We start from the raw sequence: 19,304 nt of genomic DNA, 5'->3' as shown, positions 1-19,304 counted from the left end.
TTTATTCATATTGCTGCAAAACTGGAAATAATCCAAATGTCCATCAATTTATCAGATGGATAAATGTCCATCATTTATCAAATGGATAAATTATAGTACATAAATGAAATACTACGCAGCAATAAAGAACAAACTACATGGATGAACTTCAAAAGCATTATACTAAGTGAAAGAAGCCAGACGCAAAAGGCTACATATTGTAGGATTGCATTTACCTGACATTCTGGAAAAGACAAAACTACAGAGCAGAAATCACATCAATGGTAAAAGGATGGGATGGAATGCAAAAGGCCACAGATGAACTTTCTGGGGTAAAGGATGTTCTATATTTTGATTGTGGCAGTGGTTCATGATTGTATACATCTGTCAAAGGAATTTTTATTGCCTATAAGTTATACTTTAAAAAACTTTCTCAAAAGAAAGAGAGAAAACGGAGGGGAAAAGCACTATGCTATATTTAATCATAAGAAAGTATGAAGAAAAAATAAAGTAAAAGTAGAAGCACTTATTACTTGTGAGCAAGGGAATAAAAAATAAAAATAAGACATATAATATTTGTCCTGCAGTAATCAGTCAACATGTGGGAAGTTCTCTGGGAGTTAAAGTTTTCACATTGTTACAGTGATCTGCAGTGCTAACAGTATTTTATTATATGACTATAATAAAGTTACAGCTAGTCACATTTAAAATTAATCTTGTTTTACCCAATAAGTCGATTTGGGGAGCAGAATTAATCTTGTTTTTAATCCCTGTTGTCATGAGCTACAGGAGTTAGCCACTACTCACATGACGCTGTATTTAAATTTAAATAAAAATTCAGCTCATCCGTTAAACTAGCCACATTTTAAGTGCTCAATAGCCACATGTTGCTGGTGGCTACCATATGGGACAGTGCAGATAGAGAACACTTCCATTATCACAGATTGTTCTATTACTGGTGTTCTGGGGTTGTTATTATTTCAAGATAATTTCTATCCTTCATTAATATCAGGTTATTTTAATTCAGCCTTTTAAAATTTTAAGGCCGAAAACAATCAAACATATTAAGATCAATATTTCATTTTATAAGCAAAGAAACAGGCACCAAGACCTGATTTTTTTCTGTAGCTGTCTTTTCATCAGTTTACTTCAAAAATATGCAGATCTACTATGTATGTGGCACTGTGCTGAGCAATAGGAATTCAAGAAAAAAAATAAGATTAAATTCCTCCTCCAAAGAACTCATAATCTAGTAGAGGGTAAAGATGTTCAGTGAGATCATCTCTAATGCACTCTGATGGAGTATGTTCAGGAAGCTAACCAAAAGTCAACTCATCAATTTTGGGGGTTCTGGGATGTCTCCTGGAAAAAAGTGAAACAAAGGATAATGACATTAGGCAGAGAAGGCAGCAGGGGAGTTTTGAGGCATAGAGCACAAAACTAAAGCACTGAAGAAAGACTAAAGAGTTCCATATTTTTGGAATGGAATGTGAAGTATGAAAAGAAGAGTAAATACAGGCGACCCTGGAAAGTAATAAGCAGGTGCCACGTCATGGAAAGTTTAAAAAGCAGAGTGAATACAGGCGACCCTGGAAAGTAATAAGCAGGTGCCACATGATGGAAAGTTTGTGTGTCATGCTAACATACTTGGAGTTTTTATTCCCTTGGTGTTAAGAAGCCATGAAATGCAAGGGAATGAGAATGGTAAGATTTTAGATCTGTATAAATCACTTAGGAGGCTACCAGAGGAGATAGAAAAAGGCGTCAAGGAGAGGGATGTTTTATCTAAGAATGGTTTTTAAAATAAAAGCAGGATATGAGAGCTTAAACAAGGGCAATGATAGCATGATAGACAGAAGGCACATTTGAGAAATATTTAGGGAGTAAGTTTGACAGGAGTTGGTGAGTTCAGTTTTAAATACTTGAATTTGAGGAACCAGTGAAATGCTTAGGTGAAGGTAGTTAGCTATATAAGTCTGAAACGCAGGGGAGAGGTCTGAGATGAAGACATGTATTTTGGGGTGGGTGTTAGTTTTAAACCATAAGGGTGCGTAGAAAAGTGCACCCAAGATAAAACTCCAAGAACAGCCACATTTAGAATGCTTCCCTTAAGAGAATCCATTGAAGGCAGGTGATTGAGAAGATATGGTCAGAGAAGAAAGGAGAGAATTTCAAGGAGAAAGTGGTTCATATCAAATGCAGCAGAAGTATTCAGGATGAAAACTGAAAATATACACTTTAAATTTAGCAATCAGATCATCATTTGTGACATCTGAAAGAGCAATTTCAGTGGAATGATAGAGGGTTAAAGACCATAATGAGATGCAGTGAGGAGGTAAAAAGAGCAAGTGTAGACTACTCTCACAAAAATTCGGATGAGAACAATGGGAGGAACACAGAGCTCTATCCATAGAGGAGCTTGTTTTCCTATTTTTTAAAAGATAAAAGAGTCTTGACAGCACAGAGTGACAGAAAAAGCCTGCAGACAGAGAGGAACTGAAAACACAGGACAAAGAGCAGATATATGAGGGAGCCAGGTCTCATAATACTGTTACCAAGCATCTCTACCTGGATGTCTCATCCCATCTCAAACACCACAAGTCTAACAGTCCACTCTGATCTCCCCCCTGCAATCTGATCTTTTCAACACAGTTTTCTGTTTCAGTAAATGGCATTACCATGTTACCTAGTGCTTGAGTAAGAAGCTTAGCACTCCTCCTTGGACTCATCACTCCACACACACAGTCAATGCCATTTCAATGCTTCTCAAAACTGTCAACTTCTATCTACCACTATCACCTTAGTTCAAGACATTATCATCTCTTACGTATACTATTACAAACAGGTTCTCAACTGGCCTCACTGCATTAGCCTTGCCTTCCTTTGATTCGTCTTCAAAGTGAGAATCAGATTGTCTAAATGTAATCGTGTCATTTACTCCTCTGCTTAAAAATCTTTTAATGGTTTTCTATCATCTATCTTCATATCGTCTATGTCAACTTATACCTGTCCAACTCTCTGGTCACCCTCCTTCTTGGCGCTCTCTCTCTCTCTCTCTTTTTTTTTTTTTTTTTTTAAAGACAGTGTCTCTCTCTGTTGCCCAAGCTGGAGTGCAGTGGTGCGATCTCAGCTCACTGCAACTTCTGCCTCCCGGGTTCAAGCGATTCTCGTGCCTCAGCCTTCCGAGTAGCTGGGACTACAGGCACATGCCACCATGCCAGGATAATTTTTTTGTATTTTTAGTAGAGACAGGGTTTCACCATGTTGGTCAGGCTGGTCTGAACTCCTGACCTCACTCAAGTGATCTACCCGCCTCGGCCTTCCAATGTGCTGGGATTACAAGGGTGAGCCACTGCACCCAGCCCTTCTTGGCTCTCTCTATTCCAGCTGCACTGGCCTTTTCTCCTGGCATACTCTGTTCCCATCTTGGAGCTTAACTTCTCCTCATACTTATAATCTTGCCTTAAGTATCACAGTATCAGAGAGGACTACGTTCCCCTATTGTACCTCTACAGAGTTCCCTGTCTATCTTCTTCAAGGCACATGTCAAAACTTTAACTCATTAATGACTTGTGCAATTATTTAATGCCTGTCTTTCTTACCAGACTGCAAACTTCTGGGGGATGCAGAGATGGTATGTGTCTTGTTTAATGTTATATTCTCCTGTTCCTGGAACACAGTAGACTCTTAACACAATTTCTTGAATGAAAAGAATAAATGAATAAGCAGGGAAAGGGAGATTTCCTCTTGACACTGAACAAAATAAAGCGAGGACTGGGCACAAATGTAGATAAGCTAAAAAAGTAATTATGGTGGCACTGAGATTAAGGAAGAAATGGGTGGTTTAGGTAATTCATGTCTTGTAGCCCCAATTTTCATGCATTGGCAGAGTGCTGAGAGAGGGGGATAGTGTTTGATTAGATTATGGCTAAGGCTTGAAATAACTGCTGAAGGGAGAAGGAAGAGGAGAAAGAAACTTGATTAAGAGTTGGTAAAAGACTGTTTTTCATAGTTGTGAGGGGACAACTCTACACAAAGGCAGAAACTGCAAGACAAAATCCTACTAAATCAAATGATTCAGAGAATGGAGTTCTCTGTGAAAAGTCTAAATAATACCAACTTTATTCTTTCAAGAACATAAGAGTGTCTGGCTTGACTACTAAAACTTTGCTAGAAGTACTTATTTTATTAAGAATGACTTACAAAGAACATATTTGTAACTGATTTGACTCTTTTAAAATACCTGACATTTCCTTTTGTCAAGTTATTGTAAACAGAATTTTAATTACATAATTTGTTGGGAAAGTTTTTGGTTTTTTTTTTTTTTTTTTTTTTTACAGGCAGCATACAGGTAAAGGTAGATAACCTGTTTTTTAGTAAATTACAACAAATTTCTTACTGGTGGGATCCAAATTAATATTCCATTGGCTTCCCTGGCCAATAAGTAAGGTAAGGTATCAATTTCCACAAAAATCTCATCCAGTGTACAATTATTCTCCACATCCATCAGTATATCAGACTAGAAATAGCTTTTGAATTAAACAGTTTTTGCTGCTTAATGGTAGCTAATAGTGGTTTCTCGGAGAAAATAAAATAATTCAATTCCAGACTCACGTTCCCACTCTCCCTCCAGGTGGTGCTATAGCTACAAGCGGAGAAGAGTTAACAGCTTGAGCAAAGACAGTTGGCCTTATTGTTGTTGTTGCTGTTACTATTAAATAAAATAACTTCATCTGCCTTATTTCTTGGTATTCCCTCTTCCATACAGGCTCACATAATTCTTTGCTTTCTGACTGGCTGAGATTCTAGTATTGTGAGGCAAATACGAAGATTCTCAGTAGAATGACCAGGAATAACTTCAGCAAGATTGTGATAGAAGACAAGTTATCTTATACTCTCCTTCAAGGCAGATGTCTGTCTTTTCTTTCAGGATCCCTACCATCTTCTTATCCCTGCCAAATGGTGCCACCACTCCCGCAGATCCCAAATCAGTGCTGCCCTTCTAGGTCTCCATCATCTGTCAATGCATGCCTACAGAGGCATTAGCCAAAGTGTGCTCCCATTGATTCAGGATTAGCTGCATTTTTAAAGGACCATTTTAATACAGAAAAATTCTTCAATGAACTATTAAGGGTATATTGATATTCAGGGGTAGTGGGATCTTTTACTCTGCCACAGAAATAAGTTACAGAAAGGGGTAATAGCTATGCTACAAAAGGAAAGCTGCTATTATCTTAGTTCTTTCCACCAGAGTGTTCCTAAGTACAAATCTGATAATGGGCTTCATTAATCAGTTCACATCAAAAGTCCTTAAAGGATAGCTATCTAACACCTGCCTATAAAAGTTTTGTTTCTAAGTCCCCAGCCCTCACTCCTAAATCCACGCAGCCCCCGGCTCTCACAAATAAAAGAATAAACGAAGAACTTAGTTCACCTCTTTGGAAAGGCCAAACCCTCTGACCTTAACCCTTAAAAACAGAGGTCAGCACAGCCCCATTTGAAGACCTTGAATCTCAAATTCAACGTATCAAAACAAACCATCCAGTAATTCACACGTATGAACCCAGACTTCGCAGAAGCATTAGAAATCAGACGGCATAAACTTCTTGTTACAGATGAGGAAGATGAAACTCAGGAGCAGCGTTACTTGTCCACAGTCATATAATTGATTAATGGCAGAATTATTATTTCTACCACCCCACTGGCTCTCTTCACTTTGTAAATGCAGGGGGTGAGGCCATGATATAATTCTGTACATTTTTCCTGGATAAACCACCAATCTAAAATAACTTTCTTGAAATTTATGCCAAGATGCCCTTCCCATTTCCCAGAATTCCTTAAACATTGATTTTATGAAGTTGTAGAATAATATTCTTCCATGTTTGTGCACTGACTTCACAAAGTTAATTTTAAGATTAGTAAAATATAGATTATAAAATATAGCTCATGACAAAGATATCAGAACTACTCTAAGAACTACACAACAGGCTCCAGTGAATAAACAAATTCTAAAATTTCTTGAGTTGAGAAAATACTACTCTAACCTTTAACAAAATAGCTGAATAAGTGAAATAAGTTTATCATACGTACTTAAAGCTCTAGAATGATCCGGATTCCTTATTCCCTTTGCTCGTAACCTCTGAAGAAGAACTGTTGAGGACAACTGTTTTACAAGATATACTGCCATGGAATAGTTCTGGAAAAAAAAAGAAGTAGAAAACAAACAACATATGTAAGTAAATAGTACATCTATTTTAATCTCACCATGATAGGGAAAGAAAACTAACACTTCTTAAAACACCTACTGTGTGTCAAGCAGTCTTAGGTGTTTTCATGAACAGTAATTCATTTAATCCTGACCAAAAAGCTGCCGAGATGATCATAAACCTGTTTTTATGGATGAGGATACTGAAGTACAGAGAAGTAAAAGAACTTGCCCTAATTTTGCAATTTTCAAGTAACAAACCTAGAATTTAAACCCAGGTCTGTCTTGGATTTAATATTACCTATACTTGAAGCTAATGAATTTAAGGCACTTACATGAAAGAATACTGTTAAGACTAAGTATAAGCCAAAGACAATAAGATGTCAAAGCTATAAACCATATTTAGTAGGTAACAGATATATCTAAAATAGTATCTATTTTTTTTAAATGACAAATGAGATGGGCTTCCTAATTTATACCTTTTAACCTTTCTCTATGCCTTCAAGTAGCTCTTGAAAAGATTATACTTGGGCCATTATCACAACAAGCAGAGGGAATATTAAAGAAGGTTTTCAAACAGAAGCTGCTGGTTTGGCAAATGAACAGATGAATATCCATTACCAGCAGACAGACTACCCAGAGATGACAGAGGTAGAAGGGGACCAAAAAAAAAAAAAAAAAGAAAAGCCAAAACCAAAAAAAAACAGTTAATCAACAAGCTAAGACTAAGTGAAGGGTACATGGTTGGGTAAGAGAAAGAAAAGACGGCTGAGGTTCACGAAGGGTAGGAAGGAGATCTAAATGAGAAGGATCAGTTTCTATTTGGTGCTGGGATCAAGAGGAAGATCAAGAGACTTGAAAAGAAGTAAAAGGAAAAATAATTGCTGCCATCTTGTATTTTATAGCTACACACATTTTTCAAAGCATTCTTAACATACGCTGCCTACTTCATTTAAACTTTGCACAAGGCCTATTAAGACACAGGTAGGATAGGTATTTTTCTAAGTGAAGGGCTGATGAAACTGAGGCACAAAAAGATTATGCAATCTGCTCATGATTAGGCAACTGCTTGATGACAGAGCAGACACTAGAAACCAAAGGGAAAGGGTGGGAATATTAAGACATGGAACTTAATGCACTCCCCTCTTTTGACAGAAAATATACTACAATACTCTCTGGAAGGTCATATTTTTATTTAAAGTTCGGAAAGCTATCTGTGTTTACATGCTACACATTTTCTGAGAGGGAGGAAAAAGAAGTGTCAAAAAAGCGAATTTACCTTCATTAATAAATTTCACATTAATGAGGAACAAGTAACATTAAAACTTTCCCAGCCGGGAGCAGGGGCTCATGACTGTAATCCCAGCACTTTGGGAGGCTGAGGTGGGTAGGTCACGAGGTCAGGAGATCGGGACCATCCTGGCTAACGTGGTAAAACCCCGTCTCTACTAAAAATACAAAAAACTAGCCGGGTGTGGTAGCACGTGCCTGTAGTCCCAGCTACTTGGGAGCCTGGGGCAGGAGAATGGCGTGAGCCTGGGAGGCAGAGCTTGCAGTGAGCCAAGATGGCGCCACTGCACTCCAGCCTGGGTGACAGAGCAAGACTCTGTCTCCCCCCCCAAAAAAAAAAAAAAAAAAAAATTCCTAAATTTTAGAGCATACAACATACTAATCTGATATAGCATTGACAAGCTTTATTTGTTTATTTATTTATTTAATTTGAGACAGAGTCTCGCTCTGTCACCCAGGCCGGAGTGCAGTGGCGCAATCTCGGCTCCCTGCAACCTCCACCTCCCGGGTTCAAGTGATTCTCCTGCCTCAGCATCCCAAGTAACTGGGACTACAAGTGTGCACCACCATATCTAGCTAATTTGTGTGTGTGTGTGTGTGTGTGTGTTTTGTTTTTTTGTTTTTTTTGTTTTTAGTAGAGATGGGGTTTCACCATGTTGGCTAGGCTGGTCTTGAACTCCTGACCTCAAGTGATCCGCCTGCCTCAGCCTCCCAAAGTGCTTGGATTACAGGCATGAGTCACCAGGCCCAACTGGAAAGCTTCTTTTAGAAAAAAATCTTATTCACCATTATTATTTACTTGCTTAATGCTTCAAGTATGACAGAAACTGGAGAAATGCTAATTAACAATGTGAAACTATGTATTGACAACTTGAATCTTCAGAACTTGGAATTACCCTAAGGCTTTATATAAATATTTAAGAAGAGATCAAGCAGAAACTGCAACAAGTTCAGTGAAAAGGTATGCTCACTCTAGTTGAAACATGTAAGCAAATAGAAAAATAAAATAAAAGCAGCAAAAAGAATGTGGTACTAACAAATGCCACTTGTACTGGTAATATAAAATGAAATTTTTACATCATATGAAAGAGGTTCAGCAGCAAAAAAAACCCCACCAAAGCTTAATAGTGACAGAGATTCTTTTCTAGGTAGACAGTATTTTATTGTTCCTGCTAATCCTTCAAATACTAATTCCAACTACTGATATATATTATACTATATTATATTATATTATACTGATAGTTTTGTTTATTGCTTTTTCAAAAGTCTTAAAAATTATTTGTCAAGTTCATGAGATAATTTCTCTGTAATTGAAATATACTCTATTCATTATGTGCCCCTTACACTAGTACAAGTTGAGTATCCCTGATCCGAAATGCTTGGGACTATAAGTATTTTGGACTCTGAATTTTTTTTTTCTTCCAGATTTTGGAATATCTGCATTATACTTACCAGTTCAGCATCCCTAATCTGAAAATCTGAAGTCTGAAATGCTCAAACAAGTATCTCCTTTGAGCATCCTGTTTTGAATTTTAGAGCATCTTGTGTTTCAGATTTTCAGATTAGGAATACTCAACCTACATCTAAATAATTTCTCTACAAATAATGAGAGTTTAATAAATGCTAAAAGGAGTGCTTACCCTGAGGTAGAGCAAGAAGTTACAATATAACTCACTTACTTCTTTCAGGCGCTATACTAGCTCTCCTATTTACTTCATTTGAAAAGACACAGTTGCAACATTTCTCACTGGCAACTATTTATACAAAAGTATCTGCAAAATAGTAAGATATTCTACATGAACTATTCAGAATATCTTCACAAGCTGAATTAAAACAGTAATTTAAAAACAATCTATTAAGTTATTTTCTGGGCTTTGGAAAATAATGCTGATTTAGTGTTTTACTTCCCCAGAAAAATGTCTTCAAATCTTTGTAGCTGGAAGCCTTCCTATGGAAGAGTATTTCCCCCCTCCTCTAGTGCTTTTTATCAGCGGCCATATTCCCCTCCTCTCCTACAGTTTCAGACTTCTTTCCTATTTCACCAAAAACACTCCCCTTCTTCCTTGGTGAGCTATTCTTTTCATACACAAAAACAAAACATTTTCAAAACTTTCCCCAAAAAGGAGGAAAAAGGGAACTCCAAGGTACACTAGAAATAAAATATTTAAAAGGATTTTAAAAACCTAATGGTGACATATGAGTTAAAGGAAAAAAATATAACCCTGAGAGATGTCAAAAAGAATTTTGATATAATTCAAAATCCATTTCTAAAAAAAAATCCAGTAAGAGAAATATAGAAATACATCATTGATATAATATTCTATCAAAATTAATAGCAACATTATAATAATGTTATAACAGTAGCAGTATTCTCATTAACATAAGGAGCAAGTCAAATATGTCCACTAGTGCCTGCATTGTTTAACGCTGTTTACAAAGTTCTAGGTAGTAGAACAAGAAATAAATGACAAAAGTATTAGGGTAATATAATTTATATGACATACCTAAAACTCAAAACTGTCAACATAGAAATACCAATAAATCATCTAAAAAGCTAATAGAACCAATATATGAATTTAGCTATGAAATAAATATTAAAAATAACTAGTTTTTAAGTAAACCAACAATAAATACTTTGAAAATATAACAGAAAAAAAGATCTCTTTTTATAATAGCAGTAATAATAACAACCAACATGGGAATTAGCAAAAAATATGCAGGAATTGTAGGAAACCCATTAAATTGCTGAGGAACATAAAAGAAGATTTGAAAATACAGTTCCTAGAATGGTTATATTAAATATTGTAAATAAATTCTCCCTAACTTAATCTATAACTTTAAAGAAATCTCATCCAAATTCTCAGAAAGATGTGCAAATGGGGTACAGGAGCGAGGAAAAGAAATATGATAAAGTAATTCTACTTTATCTGGAAGAAAGAATGTTTAAAAAAAAAAAAAAAAAAAGTAATGCAGGAGAATCAATGTCAGCCCTGCCAGTGTGGTTCCAATAACCACCAATATGCAGATGACTCACACATTTTTTCCCTCTAGCCCAAATGTATCCTTTAAGCCTATCTGCCCCACTGCCTATTCAGGATGTCTCACAGGCATTTCAAACTCAAAAGTTTCAAAAGTAAATTCATAATTTTCTCCATCTTGTCCTCCAATGCCCATTCTTCAAAGTAAAACAAAACAAAACAAAAACAAAACAAAACACACCCACACTCAGTCCTTTTCCAGTGTTTCCTCTATCTCAGCAGCAATATCATTTGCCTAGCCCCCCACCCAGAAACCAAGGACTCATCAGTCACATCTCCCTTTCTCTTAGCCCTCGACTTTCAATTCATCACTCAATCCTGCAGATGCCCCTACTTACCTCCATTTCTATCGCCACCACTCTAGACAAAGATACCATTTCACTAATACTTCCACAAGAGCTGGCTCCTAAGAGATGTCCTTCTGCACGATTCTGGCCTCCATTTAAACTATTTACCACTCCAAGGAGTGATCTTTTCTAAAAAGAAATACAGCACTATAAACTTTCTGCTTAAAAAGAGAAAATCCTGGCCAGGCACAGTGGCTCATGCCTGTAATCCCACACTTGGGGAGGCCACGGCAGGTGGATCACAAGGTCAGGAGTTCAAGACCAGCCTGGCCAAGATGGTGAAACCCCATCTCTACTAAAAATACAAAAATTAGCCAGGTGCAGTGGCAGGTGCCTGTAATCCCAGCTACTCGGGAGGCTGTGGCAGGAGAATCGCTTGAACCCAGGGGATGGAGGTTACAATGAGCCGAGATTGTGCCACTGTACTCCAGCCTGGCCAAGAGTGAGACTCTGTCTCAAAAAAAGAAAAAGAAAAAGAAAATCCTTAACTTTAACATTACCTACAATGCCCTGAATGGTTTAGTCCTATCTTACCCCTCTAGCCACATCTCATATACCACTCTTCCCCATTCTCTGCACTCTAGTCAGTGAATCCCTCTCAGCTTCTTGTAAAAACCAGGCTCACTCCTACCACTGGGCTGTTGTGTGGGTAGTTTCCTCTGAACCTTTCACCTGATTGCAACTCTTTTCTCAGCTCTTGGCTCAGTCACTGCTTCCTCAGGGAAGCCCTCCCTGACTGCTCTCTCTCGTTCAAAGTGCCCTTTGATACACTGTAAAATCACCATGTGCTTCTCTTTTATAGTACTTATAAGTAAGTTCACATTCTTTGTATGTGTCCACCAGGCCCCTACATCACAGGCCTCATGAAAATGAACTTTTTTCCCTCCCTATGGTACTGCCAGTTTTGAGTATAGTAGATGACACATGGTAAGCATTCAATAAATTTCAAATGAACTGGTGGATACATATGAGTTCATATCATGAAAATTGTCCCAAAAAAGAATGTTAGACTAAGAAACAACATAGAAAAAGATCAGAAACACACTCAGGATATGTAAAAGTTAAATATATAACAATGGTGGCTTCAGAATCAACATTTATTTAGTTAACAGTGTTAGAACCAGCTATTTAAAAAGTGAAAGAAAGCAATTTTTACCTCACATCACACATATATTTAATATGAACTAAATATTTAAAGGTAAAATATGAAACCTTGGAAGTCTAGAAGAAAATAAACAAATAATTCCATAGCTTGGGAAGGGCAGATAGGCAAAGCATGATGGAGACGAGAAAAGACTATATAAAGGAAATAACTGGTTAAGTTTTGGCTATACGAAAACTTTGTGTAGCCAATATAAATAATATTAATAATATTCTGCATATTAAATAACATAAAAATAAAAGGCCAACAAACTGGAAACAAATATTTGTAACATGAAACAGAGTTAAGTTTTACTATATGAAGATCTCATAATCAATAACAAAAACAGCAATAGAGAAACAGACACGGATACAGTTTTAAAATGTAATCACAAATATAAAACATATTCAATCTCAGTAATAATGAAAAAAGTACTAATTAAAACACAGTGGTGGCATTATTTACCTAACAGAATTGGTAAAAATTTCAAAGAAGATAATAGTGTTAACGAGCACGCAAATAACACTGAAAGTCAGAGAATAAATTTGTACAACACCTTTGGAGAAGGTAATCTGTCAATGTACACAAAATTTCTTAAAATTCTGTAGGCTCTTTGACTCAGCAATCCCACTTCTGAGAATTTACCCTAAGGAAATTATCATATGCATGCAAAGTTATAGCTACTAAGATGGTCTTCAAAATGTTCTTTGACATACCAATGAATCAATCAATAAATCAAGTAACACGCTCAATAGTAGGGAACAGGCAAATTTATGGCATACTCATATTGGAATATGATATCATCACTTAAAATAATGCAGAAGAACATGTGATGATACAGGAGGACATTTATGATCAATTGTGGAGTAAAAGGGCCAGGTTATAAAACACTGGATACTTCATAATCCCATTTTTCAAATGGAAACATGTTGAAAATTCATTGTGAGACAAAAATAAATCCTTTTGCAGCTCATTTTACATAATTTACATATAAATTCAGATAGGCATGGTGATTAACCCCTCCTTATAATACAAAAATCTGGTAGAAACAAAAATTTACTTACTCTTCCAATTTCTGCAGTCCAAGAAACAACAATCGTGTTTGGTACTGTTGTGGACAGTCGGACAAGTGAGGTGATATTAATTGGTCGGCTGGGTCGCTTTGGTTCCACGCCATTTTTTGTAGGTGGAAGGTAACCCTAAAAATGAAATGTAATTTATTTATACTTATTATTTCCACAATCATTTTGACTTCCATTCCTTAAGAAAAAACCCCCTACAAACTGCATACTAGAAAATATGAATGTTTTCATTAAAAAGTAGAGAAGCAAACATTTACAAGTTTCTTGTGTTATTATTTTTCCAAACAACCTTATACTCTCCTTATAGTAAACCTGAGAAAACTATTAGTGATGAAAATTCAAAATCTCTTAAATTTAAAAATCAGGATGAATTCATAACAAGCTTAGATAGGTACATGAGTAGTAGTATTTCAAGGGCACCAAAAACAGTCCTCACCCTTACCTCCTGTTTAAGACATAGCATTCTTCAAATCTCCATTCTACCATAGGCTTATAGACTCACATGAACACAGCTGAGATTTTGTTGAAAAAACTTCGCCCCAAAATCCAGTACAACACTAAAGCTACCATACCCAACTCCAAATCCTATGTCCCCAAAGCTAATGTCACTGCTGCTAACTGTACATAGTTGGTACAAGTGTTTCACCCAGTCAATGAATATATATCCAAAATAAAAATGTTTTCTTAAGGAAAAACTATGATTTAACAACAGTTGTGATGACTTATTTGATAGTTATGTTGGCAATGAATTTTAAAAAACAGCTCTTAGGACTTACTGGAAGGCTGCAAGGTTTTGTATTCACTTTCACACAAAGATTGGGTGGGAAGTGATCTTCTTGTGGACAACTGGTTTCTGATAAACAAAACCTAAACAATAAAGGACAAGTTTAATTTCCTTTATTAAAGGATGACTTCATTAGTATTATTGTTAAATAGATAAATTTAAAAGATGGTAAATTTAAAAACAACCAAAAGGGAAAACTATAAAAACTGGACTTTTCACCCTATTAATAAGTATATGTAAATAGGTTTAAAATAAATAATTCTGTCAATGTAGAGTTGTGGTAATCATGACTATCACCCTGTAGTTGTCTTCGTGATACTGCCAATTATTTGGTTAAGCATGTTCTGAGAAGCACTAGTTTCTTCAGTGATTAACAGATGTTAAAAGAAAAAAAGACTCGTTAGTCAAATAAAATTAAGAAATTCTGAATCAAAACAATTAAATTAAGCTTCCTTAATACAGAACTTTTCAGAGCTTTTAATAGGCTAATAAGCATTATAAATCTCTAAGAGGAAGACCTACCACCTGTATGCAGTATTTTCCAAATTTATTTGCCTATGAAACACTTTTCTGGTTCTTAGCAGAAAATACTGAGAATGCTTTTAAGTCCATCCCCAGGATCAGTAAGCCAAAGTACTCCTTATTTTTTGAGAACTGAAGATATTGAATATTATTTGTGTTATAGCCACATAAATTTAGAATACTATTTTAGAAACTTATAAAAATATTTCTAAATTAAATGCAGTCTTTTGGAAAAATCAAGGAAAGATACATAATTCATAAATTCTCAGTCTATTCACTCTTATTACTATTTTGCTATTTAAGGCATTTATTCTTTATTAGTACCTATTCTCAATATACACCTAAGGCTCATTGCACTGTTATAGAATGCTAATAGCACCCCTGAGTTACATAGTAGGGAGAACCCTATCTCCGAAATCTGTGAAATATTCCTCATGTGCCAACAACTCCTCTCAACACCTGCGGTATGGGGTCTTAACCTGCTGGCCATGAAATCTGAGTACGGGGATCGTGCACAATATAAAACAATTTTATATGTAAATTATTTTGAGTACATATACATGTTCAGTTTTATAGGGAAACCATTCACAGCTTCTATCAAATTCTCAAAGGGATCAGGGATCCATAAAAAAGTTAAGATTTACTGATCTACAAAGATTTTCTAGAAATATACTTAGCAAACAGATGTCAAAGCTCACAGGACCACTCCTAACCCCAGCAGAACCTTCCATTACAGGCTAATTCTTTAGGCTGCAATAGTTAAAAGGATGTCACAGTTTTTAAATAATTATTCCAATGCAGTGATCAATTTAAAACATGGACCCTGGCTGCCTGAACCCTTTCCTATAGGAAAAGAGTAATTTAAATGACAAGACAGTGTCTATTCAACTAATCTAAATCACCCTAATGAACTGAAGAGAAAAAAGAAAAAAAGGAATAGCAGAAAGTTTCTGTGAAGTGGTTCATGGGGCAGAGAGGAGGGAGTGGAGCAGGGAGGCACAACATAAATGAAAACAGACTAGGTGTCTAATAAAGAAAACTTGGATCCTAATTCTCAACTAATTATTTTTATGCTTTAGATAAACATTTCTAATTAGGATAGCAGATAGGCATACACTCCTAACTTAAATAATACACTATGGTTGCAGACCTAGCAACGTGGGGCAGGGAGAGAGATGAACTGTTTTATTAAAACACAAAGAACCACCTAACAATTACCAAATATAACACAACATGGTTCTTTTTTTTTTTTTTTTTCCAAGTCCTGGAGATACATTTCAATTAAAATAGCAGTCATCAAGATACCCTTGGAATCTCTGAATTATAGCTCATCTATCTAGACAACCTTACTTCAAAATGTGGACCACACCTGTTGCTGCTTTAAAGAATGTATGTATATTAATACAAAATACTTAGTAACTAGATCTTTTATTCTAAAGCTACGGTTTTTAAACTTTATTTTAGTCTTGGGACCCTGTCTTTAAGCAAAAATTAACCCAGAGTCAAACATGCAAAACAGATAAAAGAGATAAAAGAAGCCCCACTTTGGTTCAGACTGTGTATGTGTTTAGGAGAGAAGAGGAGGATGGCAGAAGAGTATGAACCCCTAAGGGTGGCTCCATGCAACAAGTTTGAAAACCACTGATTTAAAGGATAATGTCAAGTATCAGCACAAGCAAAATGTAAACTGTTGAGGCAGGAAGTAAAGAAGACTACAGCAATACATAATTAACTATGGAGACATCTTATTTTTGTCCTTTAATTTCTTCAGTCATTATCACAATCTGGCCGACATAAAATATACCTTTTATACAGAATCATCTTTAGCAGTGCCTTCCAAAACTGAAACTTAGATTATCACTAGTCTACTGCAGTAAGGTCCTGTCATACTGTTTTATGGTATAAAAGTTATTAAGTATAGTCATATCCTCTTTAGAATCTTCAACTCAACTTTCGACTTCAACTCTGCTTTCTCACTGTTTTTACCTTATTATTTCAAAGCTTAGATGAGAGGTTTTCACATGGTTCCATGAAGTGCTGAACAGGCGTTTTAGATTAATCCCTTTTTTAGCCTCCTAGTGTATTTGTAACTTGTACATACAACTTAGTATCTGATTATTGAGACAAGGCTAACTGTTTGATTTATCCTCCTGACAATTATAGGGAAAACAGCTTACTGAGGAAAACAACTGTCTTATATTTTCTCTTCCATCCCTATTCCAACAGTGTGGACATTTAAGTTGGTAAATCGAATAATAAAGCATAATATGATGGTTTATATAAGGGAGATATATATATATATGTATATAAAAGGGAGATATATAAGGGAGAGAAATAATACAAAATATTTCTTAGATATTCTAAGACAAATGAATGGGCTAAGAAAAGAAACTCAATAAGGGGTTGTGAATCCATGTTGGAAAATTTCCCATTAGTCTTTGAACATTTTTAAGAGATGTCTCAAATGGATCCTAAATTAGAGCATATTTAAATTATTTAAAATACAGAACAAAACAAATTAGAATATTTTGATGTTTGTTAGTCCATGACATACTGTAGACTTAAGTACTAATTCCTTATCCACAGTACTTTGCCTCTTATGGAGATAAGGCCCATGCTTTCATAAAACTTGATATGATATTGTAAGATATCATTAGCTGGAGCTTCTCAACCAACTGAGGGCAATCAAATATGGTTAGATATATAGAACATGACTTGCTATATTGAAATCTAAACTGGGGGGTGGGCGGGCAGGGGAAAAATCTAAATTGGATGAAAATTAGAATATCTCATAACAGGAGAATGTTTTCCCTCACCCAAATATCTAAACCTAATATTTTCAATACACTTATTGAAAAATCAGGTAGATTTCCTCTTATTCCTTAAAATTTTTTTTCCATTTCCCCTTCCTGATAAGGAATATTATCTTTTAAACTTTGAATATATCCTACAGTCAGCACTGTACCTTAACTGGACCCGTACTGTGAAAAGGAATATTATCTTTTAAACTTTGAATATATCCTATAGTCAGCACTGTACCTTAACTGGACCTGTACTGTGAAGTCACATTTGGTCCCAGAAATATCCCTAGAAGAGACAGAATAGGAATTACAATTACTTTTAAAGTATTTGCATGAAAGTTCATTCAAAGACCTTGTTACTCCAGAAAAGTTTTTCAAATTATCATAAATATAACTGTTCTTACAGTAACTAACACACTATACTTTCATTACTAATATTTGCATCACACAAATACTAACTCACCAATCACTGTTTTTTAAAATCATTTATTATAGACTACTGGATTCAAAGGTCAAACTTCAAGTTACACTTGACGACAACTTACATGGAACTACTGATTTGCTGCACTTGTTGTGGTGTCAAGGCAAATGCAAAACAGGTTTCTCGAAAGCGCTGACTGTTGTCTGATGCTAAAGAAGACAAGAATTATACTTTCAATTACCTTTAAATTCGCCAGTAAAGACAAAAGCAAAAAAAAAAAACACACATGTCTTTAATTAACTGGTATATATTCTAGAGTTTAGATAACAAGGCAATTAAAGCACTGAAAAATAAGAAATACACTAATTGTAACATAACAAACAGAAATAGAAACAAAAATGGCTAATTCCAGAATAACACATCAGGATTCAAATTCAGACAATACATAATCAAAGAAAGACTAAGGAAAATTTATCTAATCATATAAATGTTTGCATCTAAAGAGCACACTTGTATAAAAACATACGAATTTTATTTAAAATAGAATGATATAAACCCATTTAAAGAGACATGGTTTCTGGAAGAAGTAACAAACATACCCACCTTGAGAGCTAGACAGGTGAGATGACATTTGGTTTATAAAGTAAATTAAGAATTTTATCATCTCCTGTTTAACTCTACCATGCAAGTTTTATACAATAAATATCACATACAGTTTTTCTCCTAATCTTAGATGAGTTCAAAATTTGCTTATTGTCACTAACTCAAAGAAGGAAAAGAGTTGTAAAAAACAGAAGAGAATTAAGAAAGGAAGGAAGGGAGGGGAAGAGAGGTGGGAAGAAAGAGAAACGCATGCAAGCAGGTAGGTAAGCACAGTCAGACTAGACCAGGGGTTCTAAAGTATGCCGTTATGAGCAACAATAGTTCCATTAAAGGCTTTTTGTTTGCTTTTTTAAGAGACAGGGTCTTGCTCTGTTGCCCAGGCTGGAGTACAGTGGCACCATTATAGCACAAACTCAAACCCCTGGGCTCAAAGTGATCCTCCTGCCTCACCCTTCTAAGTAGGTAGGACTATAGGCATGCATCACCACATCCATTGGCTTTTAGTACATGTTAGATACATTTTTTTTTTAAAACAGTGGTTAATATCCCTTTTGCTCACTAATGAGCCCTCAGTGCTTGGCACAAAGAAGCACTGAATACTATTTATTTGTTGAATGAGTAAAGGAATACAAAATTTTAAGAAATAGCAGATTAAACTATTTATACTACTTTTCCAGGGTAATTTTCTAGAAGAAAATGATCACTAAGAGTTATTATTAAGAAACTATCGGCTTCTGGGGCACTTAAGGCCTGTGCTGAATAAGCAGCTGAAGTTGGCTGTTTCAATCTCTTGCTTAAACTGAGTTTGATCATACTTGCAAGAAACACTTCCTTTACAACTTCCAACCAAACTGCAATATGTCACGCAAAAAGTCGATACCAAACGTATCATTAAGAGAAAGAAATAGAAAAGAGCACTTGTTGATCTAGAATTCTATCTCAACATTAACAGTATCTTTAAAAGGCTAGGTTTGCTTTCTGCTTTATGTGTTCTAGGATGGCTTTTTCTTAAAGAATCTATCACCAAGGAGCAGTCACTAACAGAAAAAGTTGTCTTAATTGTGAAACATCAACCTGGCAATGCCAATAAC

At 35.6% G+C, this 19,304-nt stretch overlaps 1 protein-coding gene across 7 annotated transcripts in view; it reads right to left on the bottom strand.

The window, feature by feature from the left end:
• The window catches only part of PIAS1 (protein inhibitor of activated STAT 1), a 139,533-nt gene that overhangs the window by 34,083 nt on the left and 86,146 nt on the right, over window positions 1-19,304 (bottom strand). For all 7 annotated transcript variants that reach the window (XM_017022688.2, XM_011522126.3, XM_017022689.2 and 4 more), the window contains 5 exons: window positions 17,735-17,819; window positions 17,428-17,475; window positions 13,859-13,949; window positions 13,065-13,199; window positions 6,070-6,175 (listed from right to left, as the gene is read on the bottom strand). In XM_017022688.2, the coding sequence (XP_016878177.1) occupies window positions 6,070-6,175; window positions 13,065-13,199; window positions 13,859-13,949; window positions 17,428-17,475; window positions 17,735-17,819 (465 nt within the window). The remainder of the gene's footprint in view (window positions 1-6,069; window positions 6,176-13,064; window positions 13,200-13,858; window positions 13,950-17,427; window positions 17,476-17,734; window positions 17,820-19,304) is intronic.

Source organism: Homo sapiens, chromosome 15 (assembly GCF_000001405.40).
Source record: "Homo sapiens chromosome 15, GRCh38.p14 Primary Assembly".
In the NCBI taxonomy this organism is placed as follows: Eukaryota; Metazoa; Chordata; class Mammalia; order Primates; family Hominidae; genus Homo; species Homo sapiens.
Note: the sequence above shows the minus strand (reverse complement) of the source record. Positions and strands in the feature narration are given on the sequence as shown.